Below are 24,544 nucleotides of genomic sequence, written 5' to 3' on the forward strand. Positions count from 1 at the left end.
AACCCTGTCTTTACAAAAAATTTTAAAAATTAGCTGGGCGTGGTGTTGCACGCCTGTAATCCCAGGTACTTGGGAGGCTGAGGCAGGAGAATCGCTTAAACCCAGGAGGCAAAGATTGTAGTGAGCCAAGACTGCAACATTGCAACATTGCACCCTAGCCTGGGTGACAGAGCGAGACCCTGTCTCAATAATAAATAAATAAATAAAGTCTAAAGGATGTACTTAGGAAAAAGAAAATTGAACCTAGAAGGAAAGAATGAGAGGCAAGAAGGCCGGGCACGGTGGCTCACACCTGCAATACCAGCACTTTGGGAGGCTGAGGCGGGTGGATCACCTGGGGTCAGGAGTTCAAATCCAGACTGGCCAACGTGGTGAAACCCCATCTCTACTAAAAATACAAAAATTAGCAGGGTGTGGTGGCGAGTGCCTGTAATCTCAGTTACTTGGGAGGCTGAGGCAGGAGAATTCCTTGAACCTGGGAGGCAGAGGTTGCAGTGAGCTGAGACCCAGCCAGTGCACTTCAGCCTGGGCAACAAGAGTGGAACTGGGACTCAGAAACAAAACAAAACAAAACAAAACAAAACTGGTTAACATGTAACTAAGTCTAAACAAGCATTTATTTTCCGACAGGGTTAGTAATAACAGAGATGACTAATTTGGAGATAACAACATGGACAAAAACCTATATAGGATGAGAGGAGCGATTGGAGGTTAAGTATTCTAAATTCTTTTTATTACACAGAAGGAAGATAGAGATACTAATTAACTTTAGACTTTGTTAATTACGCATGTGCAAAGTTTAAGTGTATTTATAAAAATGACAGAAAGAGAATGCATAACTTCCAAACCAATGGGAGCTGGAGGAAAGGAGAATAAAGAAAACTTGATCAATCCAATAGAGGCAGAAAGAGAAAAAAGAAGCAGAGGAAAAAAGTACAAATGGCGTGAAATAAGATGGTAAAAATCAGTTAAAGTATATCATTAATCACAATATACATACTTTTAAAAATTAAAAATTGTCAGACTGGGTTTAAAAAAATCTAGCTGTACATACTATTTAGGAAGCACACTGAATATAAAGACAGAAAGGATAAAAGGAAAATGATGGAAAGAGATATGAGGCCATGAAGAAGTGTGTTGTAGCTATATTAACTGTCGGAAAAAATAAAATTAAGACAAAAAGCTCAATTAGAGATAAAGAGCGGCCTCACATAATGATAAAAAGATGAATTTATCAGGAAGCTGTAATAATTTTAAACTTGTTAGCATTTAATGACAAAGCCATAAAGTATATGAAACCAAAATTGGCAAAATTTCAAGAAGAGACTGACAAAGCCACTGTCACAGCAGAGATTTGAACACATCTGTCTCAGTAATTTATAAATCAAACAGACAAAATATTAGAAAGTACACAGAACATGTGAATAAAACAAGCTTGATCTAATGGAGTTATATGTGAATATAATGAATACATATGAATTAATATGTACCATAGATATGAATTATTGATTCATATATATGAATCAATACATATGATATAGATGATATCAATATATATGATAAGAATAGAAATACCTGTATCCAACAATTCCTACTGAATAAATAGGAAACTTTTACAAAAATGGACCATGTAGGATACAAAGAAAGGGTCTTTGTAGACCCTCAAAATATCAGTATTATCCAGATCCTTCTCTGACCATATATAATAAAATATCAATAACCAAGGGTTAGTCTTCTCCCAACAAAAAACAATATGCATTTGAAAATATAAATAAGCATACTTTTCAGCAATTCCCAAGCCAAAATAGATAATTGGTATTAGAAAATCAGAACAAAATGTCCAGGCGCAGTGGCTCATGCCTGTAATCCCAGCAGTTTGGGATGCTGAGGCGGGTGGATTACCTGAGGTCAGGAGTTCAGGACCAGCCTGGCCAACATAGTGAAACCATCTCTACTAAAAAATACAAAAATTAGCTGGGCATGGTGGTGGACACCTGTAATCCCAGCTACTCGGGAGGCTGAGACAGAATTGTTTGAACTCAGGAGGCAGAGGTTGCAGTGAGCTGAGATCGCACCACTGCACTCCAGCCTGGGCGACAGAACGAGGCTCCATCTCAAAAAAAAAAAAAAAAAAAAAAAAAGAAATTCAGAACAAAACTAAATGAAAATACTACTTATCAAGAATTAAGGGAACAGGTGTGTGACTGTAGTCTCGACTACCTGGGAGGCTGAGGCAGGAGGACGGCTTGAGCCCTGGAGTGGGAAAGTGGGAGGCTGCAGTGAGCTATGATCCTACCAGCCTAGGCAACAGAGTGATACTGTGTCCAAAAAAAAAAAAAAAAAAAAAAAAGGCTGGTCCGAGTGCAGCGGCGTTTACAGCTAATTGATCACAACCAGCCAGTTACTTGTTCCTTCTTCACTCTCACTGTTTCACTTGACTAGTTTTAAAAAGTAAAAAAAAAAAAAAATTTAAAGGAAAGCTTAAGGGACATAATGAAAGTGGTACTTGGAAATTCATAGGTTTATGAAGAAACACTGAAAAAAAGACAAAAGAGAAACACTGAAAATTAATGAGCATCCAGCTCAATTTAGAAAAAGAATCAGGCTGGGCGTGGTGGCTCACGCCTGTAATCCAGCACTTTGGGAGGCCAGGACAGGCAGATCGTGAGGTCAGGAGTTCGAGACCAGCCTGACCAACATAGTGAAATCCCCGTCTCTACTGAAAATACAAAAATTAACTGGGTGTGGTCATGGGTGCCTGTAATCCCAGCTACTCAGGAGGCTCAGGCAGGTGAATCGCTTGAACCCGGGAGGTGGAGGTTGCAGCGAGCCGAGATTGCACCACTGCACTCCAGCCTGGACGACAGAGCGACTCCGTCTCAAAAAAAAAAAAAGAAAAAGAAAAAGAAAAATAATCATAAAACTCAAAAAAGTAAAGAAATAAACATAAGAACAGAATAAAATAGAAAACAGAGATGATCAAAAAAGGAAAAGCTAATTATTTAGAAATAGATTTGTATTCCTAGAAAAATAAAACTTAAGTAAGATTCAAGATAAAATGGAACCTAAATACACCTATAGATATTCAATAACTAGATGCAATAAAAACTCTACTCCCTGCAAATACTGTGTATTCAAGGATGGCTGCCTTACACAAGCTGGTCTGGAGTCTGGGAGAGGGACTGATCTGCAGAGGGGAAGTTGGGTGTGGACTTGTAGATGGAGGCTGGTGTGCTGACCCGCCACACAGCGGGAGCACTGCCACGCATCAGGCTGTGCCAGGGGCTTGGACACTTCAGTGGACCAAACCGGCAAAGGTCAATCTCCACTGGGTGCCTATATTTTGGCAGGGAAAGAAAGACACTAAAGCACAAATAAGTGAGTCAGAGTATGCTAGAAGGGCCTCAGGAGGAAGGCAGGGGACCAGAGTGAGGCAGTGGAGCAGTGTGGGGCCAGGCAGGCCCACCTGGGAGAGGAAGGTGGAGGGGATGGCCTGGGAGCAGAGGGTCCTCTCCCGAGGTGTGGAAACCAAGGGAGGTGAAGGTTCTGGGGAAGTCAGGTGGGACAGGACAGAAACGTGCCTGCGGGGTGAGCAGCACAGGTGCTGGTGTCACCTTTGGGAATCTTTTCCAGGGAAGTGGTCACCCAGGGTTTGTGGGCTGAGCGAGAGGGAGGGTAGGGAGTGAGTGAGAGGGGCCGGGGGAGCGATAGTGAGGGGTCGGGAGGGGACAGCTCTGAGTGCAGCTGAAGTGAGGCCAACAGCTCTGATAAGAGAGAAGCCAGCAGTGGGCAAACGCAGGCCCACCTGAGGTCCTGAAGGTGGGTGGGGGTGTGAGCCCCCTTGCTGGAGAGTGTATTAAGATAGGAGGGCCGAGGTTTGGGGGGTGTCACAGGAAGTGCTGAGGCAGGGAGGGCCCTTGCAGTGGCCTCAGCCTGGGGTGGCAGCGGGGCAGTGGGCTGGGGTCCATCCAGGGGTTGGTTTGCACCCAGCACTATTCTGGGTGCTTTGCCCACATGAGCTCTCCCAGACCTTGTGAGGCCTATTTGTGTCTGAATGTGTGTGGGGGCAGGTGGGGAAGAAGTGGGGATGGTGAGAAGGACAGATCTTTCTAGAATTTTGGCCCTGTTGGAAGGAAGGAAAACCCTAGGGGCCATGGTGTCCTGTAAATCCCCACCTTCCAGGTCAGAGATGGGAGAGAAGAGGGGGTAGACCTGGGCCCAGGGTGGCCCTGCCTGGCCGGTGGGGTCTGGTGGGCCAGAGGGAGGGTCCTCAGGAAGCTTGGGGAGGCCGTGGGGAACCTGGGGATTATTCTCAACAAAGTAAGGGGCAAAGACATCCTGTGTCCCTTGGCTTCCTCTCCAGGAACCCCCCCGGAGCCCAGAGGACGTCATGTGTGTGAGTGCTTGTGGGTATTGTTATTTTTGCTGTTTGCCGGGGTGGCGGTGGAGCTGGGGAGTGACTCAGGCTTGGACTCTTTTCACGATGTGAGCATCATGCGTGCCAGGCACTGTGCAGAACCCAGGCTCAGGGCGGCACTGGGCAGGGGCTACGGTGTTGCCCCGGGCAGTGGGTCTTTGACCCAGCTGAGTCTGGGGACCATCAATCTGTGGGCTGCTGGTTGGTGAAGATGTGAGATTTTCTCTCAAAATGCTCAGTGGCCACAGCCCCAGTGCTGGCCTGGGGTGGCTGGATTCACCTGGGCTGGTGGGTTGGCAGGAGGCGGCTGGTGGGGCCCAGAGGTCCAGTCTAAGGGTCGGAGGAGTGCCGGCCAGGGTCTCTGGGTCCACCCAGCCGAGGGCAGGCTTGCAGGGAGACACCAAGGGAGAGGGAGGAGGCCCAGGGCTGTGGAAGACCTGGCTGCGGAGAGTCCATCACTGGTGGACTGGGAGGCCCCATCCACCACCTTCTGCTGGCCACAGTGGGATGAAGGGCCGGCACCTGGGAGCAAAGGCAGGTGGAGGTTGCGGTGGGAGGGACGGCAAGGAAGGTTAGGGTTAGGGCTGAAGGAGGGGTTGGGAGGGAGTTGGGGGCCTGGGTGACAGCGGGGGGAGAGACATGGGCAGGAAGACGGTGGAGACACGAGGTGGGCCGGGAAGCACTGGTTTCCTCTCTCCAGGGCTGGGCCACAGGAAATCCAGCCCTCGTGCCTTCCAAGGTGCTTCCTGCCGATACGGGAGCCTCCAGGGCCCCTTCCTGCTCCCTGCTCCCGGGACCCCCACCCCTCCCATCCTGCCCCCTCCCCTGGGAGACCCTCAGCTGCACCACTCAGGCCAGGCCAGTGGCCTTGGGAGGGGCCTGTGATGCTGGGACCACAGTTCCTGGGCAGGGAGCAACCGTCTAGGCGTGGGGAGAACGCAGGACGTGACCCACACACCGCACTGGAGGCTCCGCTCTGCCCGGTCAGTGGCGTCCTGGGGAGGCGGGAGGAGGAAGCCAGACTGGTCCCAGGGAAGTGAGGCCCTGCTCTGGGGTTGACCAGAGGCTGTTTTGAGGGGAGAGGGCTCATCAGAAACACTCTGTCAGGGGTGCTCTGGGGTGAGCAGGTGCTGGTCGAGGTGGATCTGCTGGGGAGTGGGGGCTGTCCTTGGAGGGAGTGCCAAGCTCTGTTCTGTGTGGGTCAGGGTGTTTAGGATGGTCCAGGTTGTCACGCGGGGGAGGGTAGGGAGGTTTTTCTGCGTGTATGGGGGCCGGAGCAGTTCAAGGTTATTCCTGGGAGGCTCAGGCAAAATCCGTTTTGTGGGTGATCTGGAGCTGCTCTTGGGGAGGCTGGGGGTTAGAGGCTGTTTTCCTCCTTAGGCAGAGGGGTTCCCCAGGCTGGGCTCTTCTGTGAACGTTCTCAAGCTCTGCCCTCAGGGGGCCAGCGGCTCCTCTAGGAGGATCTGGGGCTGCTTGGGGGCGGAGGAGGGGGGTGGGGAACGCCAGGCAAAGCGGGTTGGGAGAGTTCTGCAGGAGGCGGAACTATTTCGACTTAGGGGCTGCTCTTGGGGGCACAGGGGCTCGCAGTGCAGGACAGTTCCGAGAGGCCGCTCAGGGCTGGGGGGCCTGGTGCACCCCGATGGGGCGGCGGTGCCTGAGCTCGTTTCTTTACTGAGCTCCCCCCTCCTCCGCCCACTCATCACCCCCTCCCGCGTTGCCACGACAACGCGTAAAACTAAAATTCACTTCCCAGTCGCAGGTGGAGACTAGTAGCGCCCCCTCCCCTAGGCCCTTCCCCGTAGGTCGCGCCCCCATCCCGCCGTCGCTAAGGTGACGGGGAGGGGGCGACAGGCGTTGGATCCGGACCGGCCAGGGGTCCTTGGGGGGAAGTCCGGAGCAAACTCCCCAAACTAGGCTGGCGTGGGGGAGCCGCGCCGAACACGCCAGGGCGCGGTCGAAAGGGTTAATTCGGAGGGCCTCTCGCCGAGGCGGTGGGAAGGGCCCCGGGCCCTCCCCGGTCTGGAGGTCCCCGTGGTCCGACCCCCAGGCCTGGGGCGGGGGGGGGTCCCCGCCATCTCCTCCAGGCCCGAAGCTGGGGGTCGGTGGAGTGGGGGGGAGAAGCCGCCACCTCCGGAAATTAATTGTTTTTCTTTCCCCTTCTCGCCCTACCTTGGTCTTCGTGCCCCGACGCGGCCCCCACCCCAGCTCCGGGACCCCTTCCTCCGCCGCACCCGCCCCGGTGGTCCGCGGATGCCCGCCCTTGCCGCTCAGCCACTCCCCCCGCACCGAGGCCTAGGACTCCCCCCCCCAACCCCGTCACAGCCCCCCAGACCCCCGCCCCGTGGCTCGGCCCCCGCCCTCCGCACACACCTCCCGCCCCCACCCGGGACCCCGCAAGTAACCCCCCAGCACTGGCCCTGAGCCCTCCCGGCCCCCGCCTCCGGCGCAGCCCCCTCGCCACCCCCGCTTCCCTCCCGTCTCAGGCCCCCTCCCCCCGCCGCCCCCGCCCCCGGGGAAGGCAGGCGCCGAGCTGAGCCGGGGCCGATGCAGCTGAGCCGCGCCGCCGCCGCCGCCGCCGCCGCCCCTGCGGAGCCCCCGGAGCCGCTGTCCCCCGCGCCGGCCCCGGCCCCGGCCCCCCCCGGCCCCCTCCCGCGCAGCGCGGCCGACGGGGCTCCGGCGGGGGGGAAGGGGGGGCCGGGGCGCCGCGCGCGGAGTCCCCGGGCGCTCCGTTCCCCGGCGCGAGCGGCCCCGGCCCGGGCCCCGGCGCGGGGATGGACGGCCCCGGGGCCAGCGCCGTGGTCGTGCGCGTCGGCATCCCGGACCTGCAGCAGACGGTGAGCCCCGCCGCCCTGGGCCCGGCCGTGCCCCTGCGCTCCCCGCCCGGGATTCCCCCACCCCCGCCGGGCGCGCCCGGCGCCCGGGACCCCCGGCCCACGGCTACTCACCCCTCCCCCGCCGCCTCCGCCGGGACCCTCCCCATCGCCAGGGCGGGGCCCCGGGAAGCCCGGCCCCTGGGGCGGGGCTTCGGCCGCGGTTCGCGGAGGCGCGGGGTCCCGGGCGCCGGCACCCGAGCCCCGGACTCCTTCGGCGGGGGCCCGGGGCTCGGCACCCCGCATGGGGCCGGCGGGGCGGGTCCGCGCTCCCGGGACCTGAGCTCACGAGCCCGCTCCGCTGCAGAAGTGCCTGCGCCTGGACCCGGCCGCGCCCGTGTGGGCCGCCAAGCAGCGCGTGCTCTGCGCCCTCAACCACAGCCTCCAGGACGCGCTCAACTATGGGCTTTTCCAGCCGCCCTCCCGGGGCCGCGCCGGCAAGTTCCTGGATGAGGAGCGGCTCCTGCAGGAGTACCCGCCCAACCTGGACACGCCCCTGCCCTACCTGGAGGTAAGTGGCCGGCGCGGGGGTGAGCTGAGGAGCGCGCAGGGTGGATCACCAAGCCCCGTGGCGGGACCAGTGAAGGGCACGGCAGTGGGGAAACACAAGTGGGAGGGGTGAGGGGTGGAGGCTGTGTGTGTGTGTGTGTGTGTGTGTGTGTGGTGCTGTGTGCAGAGTGCAGTGAGCGTGTACAGGGTGCAGCGAGCGGACACAGTGTATGCGATGAGTAGGCGCGGTGTGTGCAGTGAGCGGGCAGGGCGAGCAGTAAGGATGTACAGTGTGGGCAGTGTGCGAGCATGTGTAGTGAGCAGGCAGTGTGTGCAGTTAGCAGGCACAGTGTGTGCAGTGAGTGGGCAGTGTGCACAGCATGTACAGTGTGAGTGGTGTGTGCTGTGTGCCGTGAGCATGTGTAGTGAGTGGGCACAGTGCAGTCAGTGTGCACAAAGTATGCAGTGGGCACGTACCGTGTGTGCAGTGAGTGGTGTGCAGTGTGTAGTGTGCAGTGAGCAGTGTGTACAGCATTGCAGTGTGGGGCAGTGAGTACAGTGTGAGTGTTGTGATTGTGGTAAGCAGGATGCGCAGTATACAGTGAACAGTGTGCACAGTGTGTGCAGTGTGGGCTGTGTGCCACAGAGTCAGTGTGGTGTGTGTAGTTTGAACAGTGTGTGCATTGAGCAGCATGGATGGTGTGGACGCTGAGCATTGTTCTCCAGGGAGGAGTGTGAGCACGAGAGAGTGCCAGAGGGGTGTGTGGTGTGAGCAGGGCTATCTGTGTGCACGTTTGTTCCTTTCTCCAGCTGTGAAGTCTTGTGAAGGCCAACCAAGTCCCCTCCTTTACTCACCCATGCATGGTGTGAAGATGTATTGAGTGCCTTGCTAGGCATGGGGACGTAGACGGGGTCAGTCCTGTGGAAGGTCTTGGAGTTTGGCAGGGTGGAGGGGGGTGCCCAACTGCAGTGGGCATTGAATAAAGATTTTGTGAGCTGAGCTCAAAGTTGGGCGGGCCTCCGTGGTGGCACAGGAAAGTGGGGTCAGTTCTACCTGGAGAGTGGAGGGGGATGTCTAGGATGGTAAGCCTGGAATCAGGCCTTCAGAGAGGAGTGGGATTTTGCCGAGAATCCTGGGGATGGGAAGGCGACGGGACAGTGCAGGCTGCGGGCAGCTAGGCACGTGCCTTCCATCGGGCTGCATCATGCCTGAGTGTGGTGGGTGCATGGCAGCTGTTAGCTCTGTCCACTGTGGTAGTATGACTGATGGTGTGTACAGGAGGGCAGTGAGGGGTGCGGTGTGGCCAGCATGAGCGGGACGGGGTTTGTGCATGGACTCACTTGCTCAGCCGGGGTGGGGGCATTTTCTCTACCTTTTCTTTATCTGAGCAGTTTCGATACAAGCGGCGAGTTTATGCCCAGAACCTCATCGATGATAAGCAGTTTGCAAAGCTTCACACAAAGGTAAAGGATCACGGGGAGGGGGCTCCTGAGGTTCCCTCCTGCCTCCCTGTGGCTGCTGTCCCCCACCCCAGCTTGGGGCTGACCACAGTCCCCCAGCTTTAGCTCAGTCCATTTCCCCATCATCAGGGGCCCAGAGCCTGTACTGGGTGTGGCTGAAGGGCTGGGCACAGATTCCTGGCCCCATGGTTGGGGTCAGGTGGTACAGTGATGTGTTCCAGTTAGATCAGACTCTTGCCGACCCCCCTGGCTTAGGGGCTGGAGTGTCCTGTGAGAAGCTGGGTGGAGAGGGAGTGGACAAGCATCTGATGTGATGGCTGTCGGGACAAGGCACCCAGCATCGAGTGGTCGACCAGTGCTAGGCATTTGTGATTAGACCTCTCATTAATCCTCTTCCAGAGGGACTATTATAACCCTGTTTCACAGATGGGGACACAGAGTACCCGACTGTGTAGACAGTGAAGCTGGGGCTGAACCCAGATCTGTCTGATTCCAGGCCCTGTGCCCAGGCATGCCTTTGAGGTGTCTACTGCTGGGTGCCACCCCCAACTGGGCCTGACCCCAAATGCTCTTGAGGGGGGCACCTTACTATTTCCCGCTGAATGTCAGAGGGGCAGGGTGGGTGCCACAGCCCCTCCCCAGGGGCTTCCACCCGCAGCTCACAGTCCAGCAGGCACTTGTTTGCTGGATACTTTATGGGCGGTCTCGAGCTCAGGAGAGGGGTCAGAATGGAGGGTCTCTGGAGCCCAGGAGAGGAATCAGAACTGTCAGCCCTGTGTCCTAATGGTCCCATCAGTGACTTTGGAGCCTCAGGCTTCTGTGCCAGGCTTTTCTGCTGCCCCAGGGCAGGCGGTGGTCAACGGCCTTGGCACTATGGCTGGGCAGAGTCCACTGTGGAAAGGTCCCCCTCTCCTGCCACTGGCCCTCACTTGACCTTGTCAGCCTGGGTTCCTACCCCATGGCCACCTCTCCCTCCGGATCTCTCTTCAGTGACCAACAAGACATGAGTGACTCACTCTGAAGTAGGTCTCGTTTGTTTTTAGGATGAGCCTGAACTTCTTACATAGCCCGTGTTTCTGCTTGCCTGGGCTCCAGCTGGCCTTTCCCTCTCCCCTGGTAGTGAGCACTTCCTCCTCTTTCACTGCCTGGCCCGCCTGAGGAGGTTGCCTCCCAAGGCAGGGGTCCCTATGGCACCCTCCCCTATTTCTGAGGTACACTGGGTGTTTATGGAAGGGCCCCGGCCTTTGGCCAGGGCACCTTGCCTTGTGTGTGTGGTGTCCGTAGTGCCGGCTGGGGAAGTGAGGCCTTGTGGGGTGAGTGAATAAACTGGGTGAATGAGTACAAGGCCATCAAAGTCATGTCACAGGATGGGTCCCTGGGGTGGGGGTCTGCGGTGGGGTGAGCTGGAGAGGAAGATGGGCCGAAGAAGGAGCAGGTTGTCTCAGGGTGCTGAGGATTCAGGGCTGCTGTGGGGCTGGTTCCTGCCTGGGTGGACCTCGGGCTCTTCTAGGCCAGGCAGGTCGGGGCAGCAGGGCCGGAGAGACGGAGCCAGGGCAGTGACTGGGCCTGGAGTGGGGGACTTGCTTGGGGCCCCACCAGGGTGACCTGGCCTTGGTGAGGGGCTACTTGGGTACAAGCTGACAGTCGTGACTGGTTTGGCTATCAGGGCGCAAGGAAGGGCTTTGAGCCGTGCATGGGCCCACCCGAGTGGGAATTGGGGCCGTGGTGGGAGTGCAGGACCGTGGTTGACAATTGTGATGTCAGGTGACAGGTCAGACTGGTAGGGATGTGGCGGGGGTTGCCTGAAGGTGGCCTGAGGCTTGCCGGAGGAAGGCGGGTGATGTTCAGATGATGGAGGCCTTGGTGCCAGGCTGACTGACGGCCGGTGTTCCAGGCGAACCTGAAGAAGTTCATGGACTACGTCCAGCTGCATAGCACGGACAAGGTGGCACGCCTGTTGGACAAGGGGCTGGACCCCAACTTCCATGACCCTGACTCAGGAGGTGAGGAGTGGAGTCGGGGAGGGGCATGGCCTTTGCGCGGCTGGGAGCCTGACCCTTATCTGTCTGTGAACCCAGAGTGCCCCCTGAGCCTCGCAGCCCAGCTGGACAACGCCACGGACCTGCTAAAGGTGCTGAAGAATGGTGGTGCCCACCTGGACTTCCGCACTCGCGATGGGCTCACTGCCGTGCACTGTGCCACACGCCAGCGGAATGCGGCAGCACTGACGGTCAGTGAGGGCGGGGCCTGGCCTGGAGGGGCTCTTGCCTGGTGATGGGGCTGGGGGCAGCTGGGCCTGGTGTGGATACTGAGGCTGCTCACCCTCAGACCCTGCTGGACCTGGGGGCTTCACCTGACTACAAGGACAGCCGCGGCTTGACACCCCTCTACCACAGCGCCCTGGGGGGTGGGGATGCCCTCTGCTGTGAGCTGCTTCTCCACGACCACGCTCAGCTGGGGATCACCGACGAGAATGGCTGGCAGGAGATCCACCAGGTGTGCAGGGAGCCGAGGTGGGGTCCCGGCCTCTGTGTGCTGGGTTGGGGGTCCTGGCTCTGTCTGTAGGGGTGGGGGCCCTAGCCTCTGCCCAGGGACCCTACAGCACCTTGCTCTTCCCCCAGGCCTGCCGCTTTGGGCACGTGCAGCATCTGGAGCACCTGCTGTTCTATGGGGCAGACATGGGGGCCCAGAACGCCTCGGGGAACACAGCCCTGCACATCTGTGCCCTCTACAACCAGGTGCGACTGTGTGTCCTGCACATGCCTGCACCAGCGAGTGTGCATATACTTGCCTCTTCTGGGGGTGTATGTGTGTGTGGGCACACAGGTGACCCTGTACGGTGATTGCATGTGTGCACCGAGTGTGGATATACTTGCCTGTTCTGGGGGTGTACGTGTGTTTGTGTGCACACAGGTGACCCTGTACAGTGATTGCATGCGTGCACCAGGGAGTGTGGATATACTTGCCTGTTCTGGGGTTGTACATGTGTGTGCACACAGATGACCCTGTACAGTGATTGTATGCGTGCACCAGTGAGTGTGGATATACTTGCCTGTTCTGGGGGTGTACGTGTGTTTGTGTGCACACAGGTGACCCTGTACAGTGATTGCATGTGTGCACCAGGGAGTGTGGATATACTTGCCTGTTCTGGGGGTGTACACGTGTGTTTGCACACAGATGACCCTGTACAGTGATTGCATGCGTGCACCAGGGAGTGTGGATATACTTGCCTGTTCTGGGGGTGTACACGTGTGTGTGCACACAGATGACCCTGTACAGTGATTGCATGCGTGCACCAGGTAGTGTGGATATACTTGCCTGTTCTGGGGGTGTACACGTGTGTTTGCACACAGATGACCTTGTACAGTGATTGCATGCGTGCACCAGGGAGTGTGGATATACTTGTCTGTTCTGGGGGTGTACACGTGTGTTTGCACACAGATGACCCTGTACAGTGATTGCATGCGTGCACCAGGGAGTGTGGATATACTTGCCTGTTCTGGGGGTGTACACGTGTGTTTGCACACAGGTGACCCTGTACAGTGATCGTACACGTGTACCAGGGAGTGTGGATATACTTGCCTGTTCTGGGGTTGTACGTGTGTGTGTGCACACAGATGACTCTGTACAGTGATTGCATGCGTGCACCAGGTAGTGTGGATATACTTGTCTGTTCTGGGGGTGTACACGTGTGTTTGCACACAGATGACCTTGTACAGTGATTGCATGCGTGCACCAGGGAGTGTGGATATACTTGCCTGTTCTGGGGGTGTACATGTGTGTGCACACAGATGACCCTGTACAGTGATTGCATGCGTGCACCAGGGAGTGTGGATATACTTGCCTGTTCTGGGGGTGTACACGTGTGTTTGCACACAGGTGACCCTGTACAGTGATTGTACACGTGTACCAGGGAGTGTGGATATACTTGCCTGTTCTGGGGTTGTACGTGTGTGTGTGCACACAGATGACTCTGTACAGTGATTGCATGCGTGCACCAGGTAGTGTGGATATACTTGTCTGTTCTGGGGGTGTACACGTGTGTTTGCACACAGATGACCTTGTACAGTGATTGCATGCGTGCACCAGGGAGTGTGGATATACTTGCCTGTTCTGGGGGTGTACATGTGTGTGCACACAGATGACCCTGTACACTGATTGCATGCGTGCACCAGGGAGTGTGGATATACTTGCCTGTTCTGGGGGTGTACATGTGTGTGCACACAGATGACCCTGTACAGTGATTGCATGCGTGCACCAGGGAGTGTGGATATACTTGCCTGTTCTGGGGGTGTACATGTGTGTGCACACAGATGACCCTGTACACTGATTGCATGCGTGCACCAGGGAGTGTGGATATACTTGCCTGTTCTGGTGTTGTACATGTGTGTGTGTGCACACAGATGACTCTACAGTGATTGTATGCGTGCAGCAGGTAGTGTGGATATACTTGCCTGTTCTGGGGGTGTACACGTGTGTTTGCACACAGATGACCCTGTACAGTGATTGTATGCGTGTACCAGGGAGTGTGGATATACTTGCCTGTTCTGGGGGTGTACATGTGTGTGCACACAGATGACCCTGTACAGTGATTGTATGCGTGCACCAGGTAGTGTGGATATACTTGCCTGTTCTGGGGGTGTACACGTGTGTTTGCACACAGATGACCCTGTACAGTGATTGCATGCGTGCACCAGGGAGTGTGGATATACTTGCCTGTTCTGGGGTTGTACATGTGTCTGTGTGCACACAGATGACTCTGTACAGTGATTGTATGCATGTACCAGTGAGTGTGGATATACTTGTCTGTTCTGGGGGTGTACGTGTGTTTGTGTGCACACAGGTGACCCTGTACAGTGATTGTACACGTGTACCAGGGAGTGTGGATATACTTGCCTGTTCTGGGGGTGTACGTGTGTTTGTGTGCACACAGGTGACCCTGTACAGTGATTGCATGCGTGCACCAGGGAGTGTGGATATACTTGCCTGTTCTGGGGGTGTACACGTGTGTGCACACAGATGACCCTGTACAGTGATTGTACACGTGTACCAGGGAGTGTGGATATACTTGCCTGTTCTGGGGGTGTACACGTGTGTTTGCACACAGATGACCCTGTACAGTGATTGTACACGTGTACCAGGGAGTGTGGATATACTTGCCTGTTCTGGGGGTGTACACGTGTGTGCACACAGATGACCCTGTACAGTGATTGTACACGTGTACCAGGGAGTGTGGATATACTTGCCTGTTCTGGGGGTGTACACGTGTGTTTGCACACAGATGACCCTGTACAGTGATTGTACACGTGTACCAGGGAGTGTGGATATACTTGCCTGTTCTGGGGGTGTACATGTGTGTGCACACAGATGACCCTGTACAGTGATTGCATGCGTGCACTAGGGAGTGTGGATATACTTGCCTGTTCTGGGGGTGTACACATGTGTTTGCACACAGATGACCCTGTACAGTGATTGTACACGTGTATCAGGGAGTGTGGATATACTTGCCTGTTCTGGGGGTGTACACGTGTGTTTGCACACAGATGACCCTGTACAGTGATTGTACACGTGTACCAGGGAGTGTGGATATACTTGCCTGTTCTGGGGGTGTACATGTGTGTGCACACAGATGACCCTGTACAGTGATTGCATGCGTGCACCAGGGAGTGTGGATATACTTGCCTGTTCTGGGGGTGTACACGTGTGTGTGCACACAGGTGACCCTGTACAGTGATTGCATGCGTGCACCAGGGAGTGTGGATATACTTGCCTGTTCTGGGGGTGTACACGTGTGTGTGCACACAGGTGATCCTGTACAGTGATTGCATGCGTGCACCAGGGAGTGTGGATATACTTGCCTGTTCTGGGGGTGTACACATGTGTTTGCACACAGATGACCCTGTACAGTGATTGCATGCGTGCACCAGGGAGTGTGGATATACTTGCCTGTTCTGGGGGTGTACACGTGTGTGTGCACACAGGTGACCCTGTACAGTGATTGCATGCGTGCACCAGGGAGTGTGGATATACTTGCCTGTTCTGGGGGTGTACACGTGTGTGTGCACACAGGTGACCCTGTACAGTGATTGCATGCGTGCACCAGGGAGTGTGGATATACTTGCCTGTTCTGGGGGTGTACATGTGTGTGCACACAGGTGACCCTGTACAGTGATTGCATGCGTGCACCAGGGAGTGTGGAAATACTTGCCTGTTCTGGGGGTGTACACGTGTGTGTGCACACAGATGACCCTGTACAGTGATTGTGTATGTGCATCCCTGCCTCTGTGCCATGGTATATATATGTGCTCTGTGTCCTGCAGTGAGTTGTGGCTGCAGCACAGCCTCATAGGCATATGTGTGCACATTTGTTCTCTGAACACACAGGGGCTTCACATGTGTGCACGTGTGTTCTGAATAACCAGGTATGAATTGGGTACATCTAGGCCCTCTGGGCCAGGTGAGACCTGAGCGTGTATACCTACTGGCTTGTCTCTGCAACTCAGGTGTACATGGAACAAATAGGTGTGAGTCCGTGTGTGTGAGCCTGTGCCCTGCGCACGCCATGTGTGCATTCCTGTGTGCGCATGTGCTGTTGTGCTCGGATGGTCTCTCCAGCCACCCAGCTGTGATTCCCTCTTCCCCGCAACAGGAGAGCTGTGCTCGTGTCCTGCTCTTCCGTGGAGCTAACAGGGATGTCCGCAACTACAACAGCCAGACAGCCTTCCAGGTACACCGGTGGTTTACAGGAGCTCAAGGCTGCCCCAGAGGTGTCTGTCTCTGTGTCCATGTGACTTGACTTCTCTGAACCTTGGTTCTTCCCTGGAAGGCCCTAAGGGAGCACCTCCCCCAGGACTGCCCACAGGAGGTGTTGGGGGACGAGCCCAGCACGCGAGGGGTATTTGGTGTTGATGTTCCCTTCGTCCCCTCGCCAGGGAGAGAGGAGGGTCAGCAGGGCTCTGGGGCAGGGGTATGGGGAAAATGAGAAGACTGGGGTGACAGGTGTGGGTCTGACCCCCCAACCCCGAGAGACCAGCAGGGGTGCAGAAGCCAAACTGCAGAGGGGGTGGAGAGGGGGGTGGTGGAGGGGGGTGGTGGAGAGGGGGGTGGTGGAGGGGGATGGTGGAGGGGGGATGGTGGAGGGGGGTGGTGGAGAGGGGGTGGTGGAGAGGGGGGTGGTGGAGAGGGGTGTGATCCTAGCCGCTGATGTAATTCAGGGGAGGTTTCCGGGCCCTTTCTCTGGCCAGGTTGGTTGGCACTGATGACCAGGTGGACGTGGTCTCTGACTTGGAGTTTGTTGGGGAGTCGGGAATATTGTGGGGGTTTGCGGACCAGGAACAGAGCCAGAACTCCTCTATTTTCAGTAGGAGTGAGATGTGGGAAGAGTGGTCAGGCTGCTGAGGTTGTGTGGTCATAGAAGGTGGAGGCAGCAGTGGGCTGCCAGATGGGTTTGGGCACACTGGGAAGCAGATACGCCCGGGCCTGTTGGATGACTGGGTGCAGGGTCACAGGAAGGGGAGGATGAGCTTGGCAGCTTGGGCAGCTGCGGGGCCTTGGCTGAGATGGGAAACATGGCTGCATGTTGGGACAGACCAGTGTGCCCGTTTGCTTGGGACTGCTGGTTTTAGCTCTGAACTTCTGTCCAGGCAGCCCCTCAGTCCCAGGCAGACAGAGGGTGGGTCACTCCAGTTATAGGGTGTGCCTGTGGCATCCCAGTTACAGACAAGAGTGTGTGTCAGTAGAGAAGAGGAATGGGCTGGGGTCTCCGGGGCCCCCAACCAAGGAAGACTCCACACACGAACTGGAGAAGGAGCAGCTGGGGCTGGCTGGCGAGGCAAAGCTGGTGCTGCTCAGCCCCTCCCTGCTCCTCAAGGCCTTGACCTCCCCTTTCCCTCAGGTGGCCATCATCGCAGGGAACTTTGAGCTTGCAGAGGTTATCAAGACCCACAAAGACTCGGATGTTGGTGAGTTCTGCCCACCTGGGCGACCCTGCTGAATGTAGATTCGTGTGGTTTTCTGGGGCCCAGCAGATGTGGGGGTCAGTGGTGACATAAAGGGGCCCCACACCCCACATCTACACTGTGTGGCCAGTGGTCTCTGAGTGGCCACTGCGGGCATGAGGAACGGGCCACAGGGCCTGTGTTGAGTGAACATTGTTTTTGGTCTGGGAGAAGAGCATGGTGAGGTTTGGGCTGTGGGCCGGGGCTAGCATTCAGCTTAGGGGGCAGCATAGGTTGAGAGTGGGGTTGAAGTTAGGGTCAGAGTCCCTGTTTCCCGTTAAATCCTAGGAAGAGCCAGCAGGAGACATGGGGGTGGTGGACCTCACTTCACCCTGGAGCAAGCATGAGTCTTGGTGGTCCGTAGCAAGCTCTCAGCATGGAAAGATCATGTAAACGACACATAAGGAAAACAACAGTGATGGGAAAGCAGAATGGGGCTGGGAATAGTGCCATAGCCATCCTCAGGGCAAGGAGCTCTGAGCCCCCTGCTGCCTGCGAGTAGAGGAAAGCCTGGTGTGTGCGTGACTCACGGTCCTGGAAGGAAAACCAGGAGACACACACGTGGCCTCAGCCAGGATACCCGAGCCTCTTGGAGGTCTCTGGTGGGTGTGGGGCCAGGCTGGGACCGTCCTGTTGTAGCTGCCGGAGTCCCCTCTGGGAGAGTTGTAGCTGCCGGAGTCCCCTCTGGGAGAGTTGCTGCTGGCCAGGCTGGGACCGTCCTGTTGTAGCTGCCGGAGTCCCCTCTGGGAGAGTTGTAGCTGCCGGAGTCCCCTCTGGGAGAGTTGCTGCTGGCCAGGCTGGGACGGTCCTGTTGTAGCTGCCGGAGTCCCCTCTGGGAGAGTTGCTGCTGGCCAGGCTGGGACCGTCCTGTTGTAGCTGCCGGAGTCCCCTCTGGGAGAGTTGTAGCTGCCGGAGTCCCCTCTGGGAGAGTTGCTGCTGGCCAGGCTGGGACGGTCCTGTTGTAGCTGCCGGAGTCCCCTCTGGGAGAGTTGTAGCTGGCCAGGCTGGGACCGTCCTGTTGTAGCTGCCGGAGTCCCCTCTGGGAGAGTTGTAGCTGCCGGAGTCCCCTCTGGGAGAGTTGCTGCTGGCCAGGCTGGGATGGTCCTGTTGTAGCTGCCGGAGTCCCCTCTGGGAGAGTTGCTGCTGGCCAGGCTGGGACCGTCCTGTTGTAGCTGCTGGAGTCCCCTCTGGGAGAGTTGTAGCTGCCGGAGTCCCCTCTGGGAGAGTTGCTGCTGGCCAGGCTGGGACCGTCCTGTTGTAGCTGCCGGAGTCCCCTCTGGGAGAGTTGCTGCTGGCCAGGCTGGGACGGTCCTGTTGTAGCTGCCGGAGTCCCCTCTGGGAGAGTTGCTGTTGGCCAGGCTGGGACCGTCCTGTTGTAGCTGCCGGAGTCCCCTCTGGGAGAGTTGTAGCTGCCGGAGTCCCCTCTGGGAGAGTTGCTGCTGGCCAGGCTGGGACCGTCCTGTTGTAGCTGCCGGAGTCCCCTCTGGGAGAGTTGCTGCTGGCCAGGCTGGGACCATCCTGTTGTAGCTGCCGGAGTCCCCTCTGGGAGAGTTGTAGCTGGCCAGGCTGGGACCGTCCTGTTGTAGCTGCCGGAGTCCCCTCTGGGAGAGTTGCTGCTGGCCAGGCTGGGACTGTCCTGTTGTAGCTGCCGGAGTCCCCTCTGGGAGAGTTGCTGCTGGCCAGGCTGGGACCGTCCTGTTGTAGCTGCCGGAGTCCCCTCTGGGAGAGTTGCTGCTGGCCAGGCTGGGACTGTCCTGTTGTAGCTGCCGGAGTCCCCTCTGGGAGAGTTGTAGCTGCCGGAGTCCCCTCTGGGAGAGTTGCTGCTGGCCAGGCTGGGACGGTCCTGTTGTAGCTGCCGGAGTCCCCTCTGGGAGAGTTGCTGCTGGCCAGGCTGGGACGGTCCTGTTGTAGCTGCCGGAGTCCCCTCTGGGAGAGTTGTAGCTGGCCAGGCTGGGACCGTCCTGTTGTAGCTGCCGGAGTCCCCTCTGGGAGAGTTGCTGCTGGCCAGGCTGGGACCGTCCTGTTGTAGCTGCCGGAGTCCCCTCTGGGAGAGTTGTAGCTGCCGGAGTCCCCTCTGGGAGAGTTGCTGCTGGCCAGGCTGGGACCGTCCTGTTGTAGCTGCCGGAGTCCCCTCTGGGCGAGTTGCTGCTGGCCAGGCTGGGACGGTCCTGTTGTAGCTGCCGGAGTCCCCTCTGGGAGAGTTGCTGCTGGCCAGGCTGGGACCATCCTGTTGTAGCTGCCGGAGTCCCCTCTGGTGCCTGTGCCTCTCTCTGGTATATGGACTCCCAGGACCCCCTTCCTGCCATGAGTGTTTACTCGTGGGTGTCCCCATTTTTTGTTTTTGTTTTAATTTGAAGTGACAGCGGGCAGCAAACGTCTGGAGCAGATGTTAGGGTTGGACTCTCACTTGGTTCTAATGTGAGGTCATGGTCAGGGCTGGAGTTGAATTTTGGACTGGGGTTAAGATTAAGGTCGGTTTCATGTTTAAGGGCCCTTCTTCTGTAGAGTTCCCCCTGAACATCCCCCTGTAAGGCTTGGTTATGAGCCCCTCCACCCCAGGCTGTGTCAGTTGAACCATCTGAGGCTGTGGCAGACCCTCGGTGAATGCCACAGCTGCTCTCAAGGCCACTGCAGGGAAGTGTGTGTTGAGGAAGTAACTGGGCCAGTGGGATGGGTAGGATCGGAGTCCAGGGTCAGGTCAGGGGAGAACTGTGGTAAGGTTTGGGTTTGCATAAGGGGCAGCAGATAGTTACTTCTGGTTTGGGCTGGTGTTTTGGAGGTGGCCCTTAGTGTTGGAAGGCCCTGGTTTGTGCATGTGTGGGGCCTCTTCCTCTTTTTTTTTTTTTTTTTGAGATGGAGTCTGCCTATGTAGCCCAGGCAGGAGTGCAGTGGCGCGATCTTGGCTCACTGCAAGCTCCGCCTCCTGGGTTCTCACCATTCTCCTGCCTCAGCCTCCCGAGTAGCTGGGATTACAGGTGCCCACCATCATGCCTGGCTAATTTTCTGTATTTTTAGTAGAGACGGGGTTTCACCGTGTTAGCCAGGATGGTCTTGATCTCCTGACCTCGTGATCCACCCGCCTCGGCTTCCCAAAGTGCTGGGATTACAGGCATGAGCCACTGTGCCCGGCCAGGGCCTCCTCTTCTGCCTATAATTGTCTAACCGTGGGAAAGCTGTCTGGGACCTCTGCGCCTCAGTTTCTCTTAAGTGAAACATGGTCTCTTATGGTCATTTGCATCCCCTTCCCCCTGTGGTGTCCTGTGGCGTTTGATCCTGGGTGGGGCTGGACTCTTGCCGGTGGCCTTGGTCTAGTTGCTTGGAGGGAGGGCGGGAAGGCCCCATCTGCCCCTCATCTGTGCGTTGTGGACAGATACCCCAGGGCTCTTGGAGTCACCATGGTTGCGACTTACTGGCTATCCAACCTAGGTGTGCTTGCTTGGTTGGAGTTAGACACACGTCCCTCAGTGGTAAGGAGCAGGCACCTGTGTCAGTTCATCCTGATGTGGTCGTCGGCTCCATGGGCCAACAACACCCTTACCTGATCAGGTGCCACACACAGACACTAGGGTGACACCGCCAGATTTCCCTGAGTACAGGCAGCATATTTGTCAGGATTTAATACAAGCCCCTTATCTCAATTTGCCCTCTCAACAACCCCCCAAGGAGTGATTAGACTGTTTTACGGAGAAGGAAACTGAGGCACAGAGGGGGTTAATTCAGACCTGATTGATTCAGGGTCTGCCTTTGTCACTCCCATGCCCTCCGTACACATTTGCTCCAAGGACAGGACAGTCATGACTTGCTACATCCTATGCCCACTGGGGTCCCAGAGTGGGGCCTGTACACAGAAGAGGAACTGGAAGGAGGTGCCGCCTTCTCTGGTGGGCAGGTGCCACCCGGTGGGATCTGGTAGACTGGGACCTGTGTAACCCTTCAGGCAACAGGATAGCTTGCTGCCTCTCGACAGCCTTGCTTGCCCCCTCTAGACTGACAGGCCTTGGGTGGGGTCCCTGGCCTGGGCGTGGAATGGGCATCCCACAGTGCTTTTGATGAGTACCTTGGGGAAATGCTTCTCCAGGGTGCTGTCATGCCCATGAGAACACACCTGTGCCTGGGAGTGTGTGCCTGAGAGAGGGTAAGAGACAATGTGGACCCAAAGAGTGACCCGACGTGACAGAGGCAAGGAAGCAGAGGTGACCACTTCTAGGCCAGAATGATTCAGTAGCGTTCTGTATATTCACGGTGTTGTGCAGCCGATTCTATTGAATTCAAAACATTTTCATCACCACAAAAGAAGACCCTGGACACATTAAGCAATAATTCTGCATCAATTACCCTCTCCCTCCAACTCTGTCAGCCATTAACACACTTTCGTCTCTGTGGACTATAGATTTACCTATTCTTGATATTTCATGTCAATGGAATCATATAATAAGTGACACTTAGTGTCTGGCTGCTTTTACTCAACATGTTTTTGAGCTTCACCTTGTAGGATATATCACTGCTTCATTCCTTCTTATGGCTGAATAATATTTCACTGTTGGTATAAATGACATTTTGTTTATGCATTCATCTGTCAATGGATATGTGGGTTTCTACCTTTTGACTGTTTTGAATATTGCTGCTGTCAACATGTGTGTACATGTACTTGTTTGAATATCTATTTTCAATCTCTTAGGTATATACCTAAGAATGGAATTTTGGAATCATATGATAATTCTATGTTTAACTTCTTGAGGAACTGCCAAACTGTTTTCCACCATTTTGCATTCCCACCAGTGATGTATGAGGCTTCCGGTTTTTTCACATCTTCACCAACAGTTGTTACTATCTTTTTTTTTTGACCGTAGCCATCCTAGTAAGTGTGAAATGGTATTTCATTGTGATTTTGACTTGTATTTCCCTAGTGACTAATGATGTTTTGCATCTTTTCATGTGCTTATTGGGCATTTGTATATCTTCTTTGGAGAAAAGTCAAGTCCTTTGTCCATTTTTAAATTGGGTCATTTATTTTTGTTGTTGAGTTGTAAGGGTTCTTTATATATTCTGAATACTAAACTTGTGTGGAATATGTGATTTGTAAATATTTTCTCTGTAGAATAGGAGATCCTTGTCACTTTTTTGATAATGTCCTTTGATGTACAAGAATTTTTAATTTTGATAAAGTTCAAGGTATCTATTTTTTTCTTTTGTTGTTCATGCTTTTGGTGTCATAGGTCACGAGGGTTTATCCTCTAGGTTTTCTTCTAAGAATTTTACGGTTTTCACTCTTAGGTCACTGATCCATTTTAAGTTTTAACTTCTGTTTATGGTGTGAGGTAGGGAGCCATCTTCATTATTTTGCATATGAATATCCAATTGTCCAGCACCATTTGTTGAAGAGACTATTCTTTTCCCATTGAATGGTCTTGGCACCCTTGTTGAAAATGAATTGATCCTAGATATGTGGGTTTATTTGGACTCTCAATTCTATCCCAGTGGTCTACATGTATATTCTTATGCCAGGACCACATGGTTTGATTACTGCAGCTTTGTAGTAACTTTTTATTTTTATTTTTTTGGAGATGGAGTTTTGCTCTTGTCACCCAGGCTGGAGTGCAATGGCGCAGTCTCAGCTCACTGCAACCTCCGCCTCCCAGGTTCAAGCAATTCTCCTGCCTCAGCCTCCAAAGTAGCTGGGATTACAGGTGTGTGCCACCATGCCCAGCTAAGTTTTGTATTATTAGTAGAGATGGGGTTTTACCATGTTGGGCAGGCTGGTCTCGAACTCTTGACCTCAGGTGATCCACCCGCCTCTGTCTCCCAAAGTGTTGGGATTACAGGCATGAGCCACTGCACCCGGAGTGTAGTAACTTTTGAAATCAGGAGGTTTGAGTGCTTCAACTTGTTCTTATTTGTTATCGTTTTGGCTAATCAGGGCCCCTGGCAATTCCATATAGACTTGAACATTGCTTTTCTATTTGTGCAAAAAGGGACATTGGAATTTTGCATTGAATCTGTCATCACTCTGGGTGACATTAACATTTTAACACCATTGTCTTCCAATTAATGAACATGGGATGTCCTTTTATTTATTTAGGTCATCTCTAAGCAGTGTTTTGTCATTTTCAGTATATAGATTTTTTTACTTCCTTAGTTAAATTTATTCTTGATTATTTTCTTCTTCTGGATGCTATTATAAATGGAATTATTTTCTTAATTTCCTTTTTGGATTGTTCATTGCTGGTGTGTAAAAACAAGTGATTTTTGTGTGCTGATCTTGTGCCCTACAACTTTGCTGAATTTGTTTATTAGCTCTAGTAGCTCTTTTGGTGTATTCTTTGGGATTTTCTACATATAGGATCATGCCATCTGCAAATAGAGATAGTTTTACTTCTTCCTTCCCAATTTGGGTGCCTTTTTTTTAATTTTTATTTTTGCCTGTCTAGAACTTTCAGTACGGTGTTGAATACCAGTAGTAAAAGCAGGCATCTTTGCCTTGTTCCTGATCTTAGGGGGAAAGCATTCAATCTTTCACCATTGTGTATGGTGCTATCTATGTGTGTTTTTTTTGTTTGTTTGTTTTTTGTTTTTTAAATATGGAATGCTTCATTAATTTGCATGTCATCCTTGTGCAGGGGACATGCTAATCTCTGAATCATTCTAATTTTAGTATATGTGCTGCAGAAGCAAGCACTTCGGATTTTTAATAAATTTCCTTTATTATGTTGAGGAAGTTACTAGCTTCTATTACTAGTTTCCTGAGTGTTTTTATAATGAAAGAGTGTTGGATTATGGCAGATGCTTTTTATGCATCAATTGAAATGATCATTTTTCCCCCTTTGTTCTATTAATGTGATGTATTATATTGATTACATTAGTCTGTAGATTTCTTTTCCTGCAATGCCCTTATCTGGCTTTGGTAGCAGGGTAATACTGGCCTCGTGAAATGAGGGAGTGTTCCCTCCTCTTCTGTTTTTTGGAAGAGTTTGAGAATTTGTGTCAATTCTTTAAATTTCTAGTAGAGTGCACCAGTGATGCCATCTGGTGGTGGACTTTTCTTCGTTGGGAGGCTTGTGGTTAAGGATTCAATCTCTTTGCTTGTTATAGGTCTGTTTAAATTTTCTGTTTCTTCTTGAGTCAGTTTTGGTAATTTGTGTTTTTCTAGAAATTTGTCTACCTCATCTAGCTTTTCTATTTGTTGGCATGTAATTGTTCATAGTGTTATATTCCTTTTTAACTTCTGTAACACTGATAGTAAGTCCCCAAATTTCATTTGTGATTTTAGTTATTTCTGTCCATCTTCTCTCCTTACTAGTCAATCTAGCCAA

General features: G+C 54.1%; 1 protein-coding gene and 1 pseudogene across 1 annotated transcript in view, besides 1 other annotated feature; one reads left to right on the top strand and one right to left on the bottom strand.

Moving 5' to 3' along the window:
• The window catches only part of SHANK3 (SH3 and multiple ankyrin repeat domains 3), a gene marked incomplete in the record, with an annotated part of 60,390 nt that continues 41,215 nt past the window's right edge, over positions 5,370-24,544 (top strand). The window contains 11 exon segments of the mRNA NM_001372044.2: positions 5,370-5,400; positions 6,623-7,126; positions 7,129-7,251; positions 7,595-7,798; positions 9,169-9,240; positions 11,132-11,240; positions 11,316-11,467; positions 11,566-11,733; positions 11,859-11,975; positions 15,887-15,964; positions 17,132-17,198. Of these exon segments, the coding sequence (NP_001358973.1) occupies positions 6,962-7,126; positions 7,129-7,251; positions 7,595-7,798; positions 9,169-9,240; positions 11,132-11,240; positions 11,316-11,467; positions 11,566-11,733; positions 11,859-11,975; positions 15,887-15,964; positions 17,132-17,198 (1,255 nt within the window).
• Positions 7,870-8,673: an enhancer, noted in NCBI's record as "H3K27ac-H3K4me1 hESC enhancer chr22:51113751-51114554 (GRCh37/hg19 assembly coordinates)". NCBI's record gives its function as "activates a minimal SCP1, AML or CMV promoter by ChIP-STARR-seq in naive and primed H9 embryonic stem cells {active_cell/tissue: H9 hESC(naive and primed)}" and the evidence as "EXISTENCE:reporter gene assay evidence [ECO:0000049][PMID:30033119]".
• On the bottom strand, positions 23,807-23,910 carry RNU6-409P (RNA, U6 small nuclear 409, pseudogene; annotated as a pseudogene).

Source organism: Homo sapiens, chromosome 22 (assembly GCF_000001405.40).
Source record: "Homo sapiens chromosome 22, GRCh38.p14 Primary Assembly".
Lineage (NCBI taxonomy): Eukaryota > Metazoa > Chordata > Mammalia > Primates > Hominidae > Homo > Homo sapiens.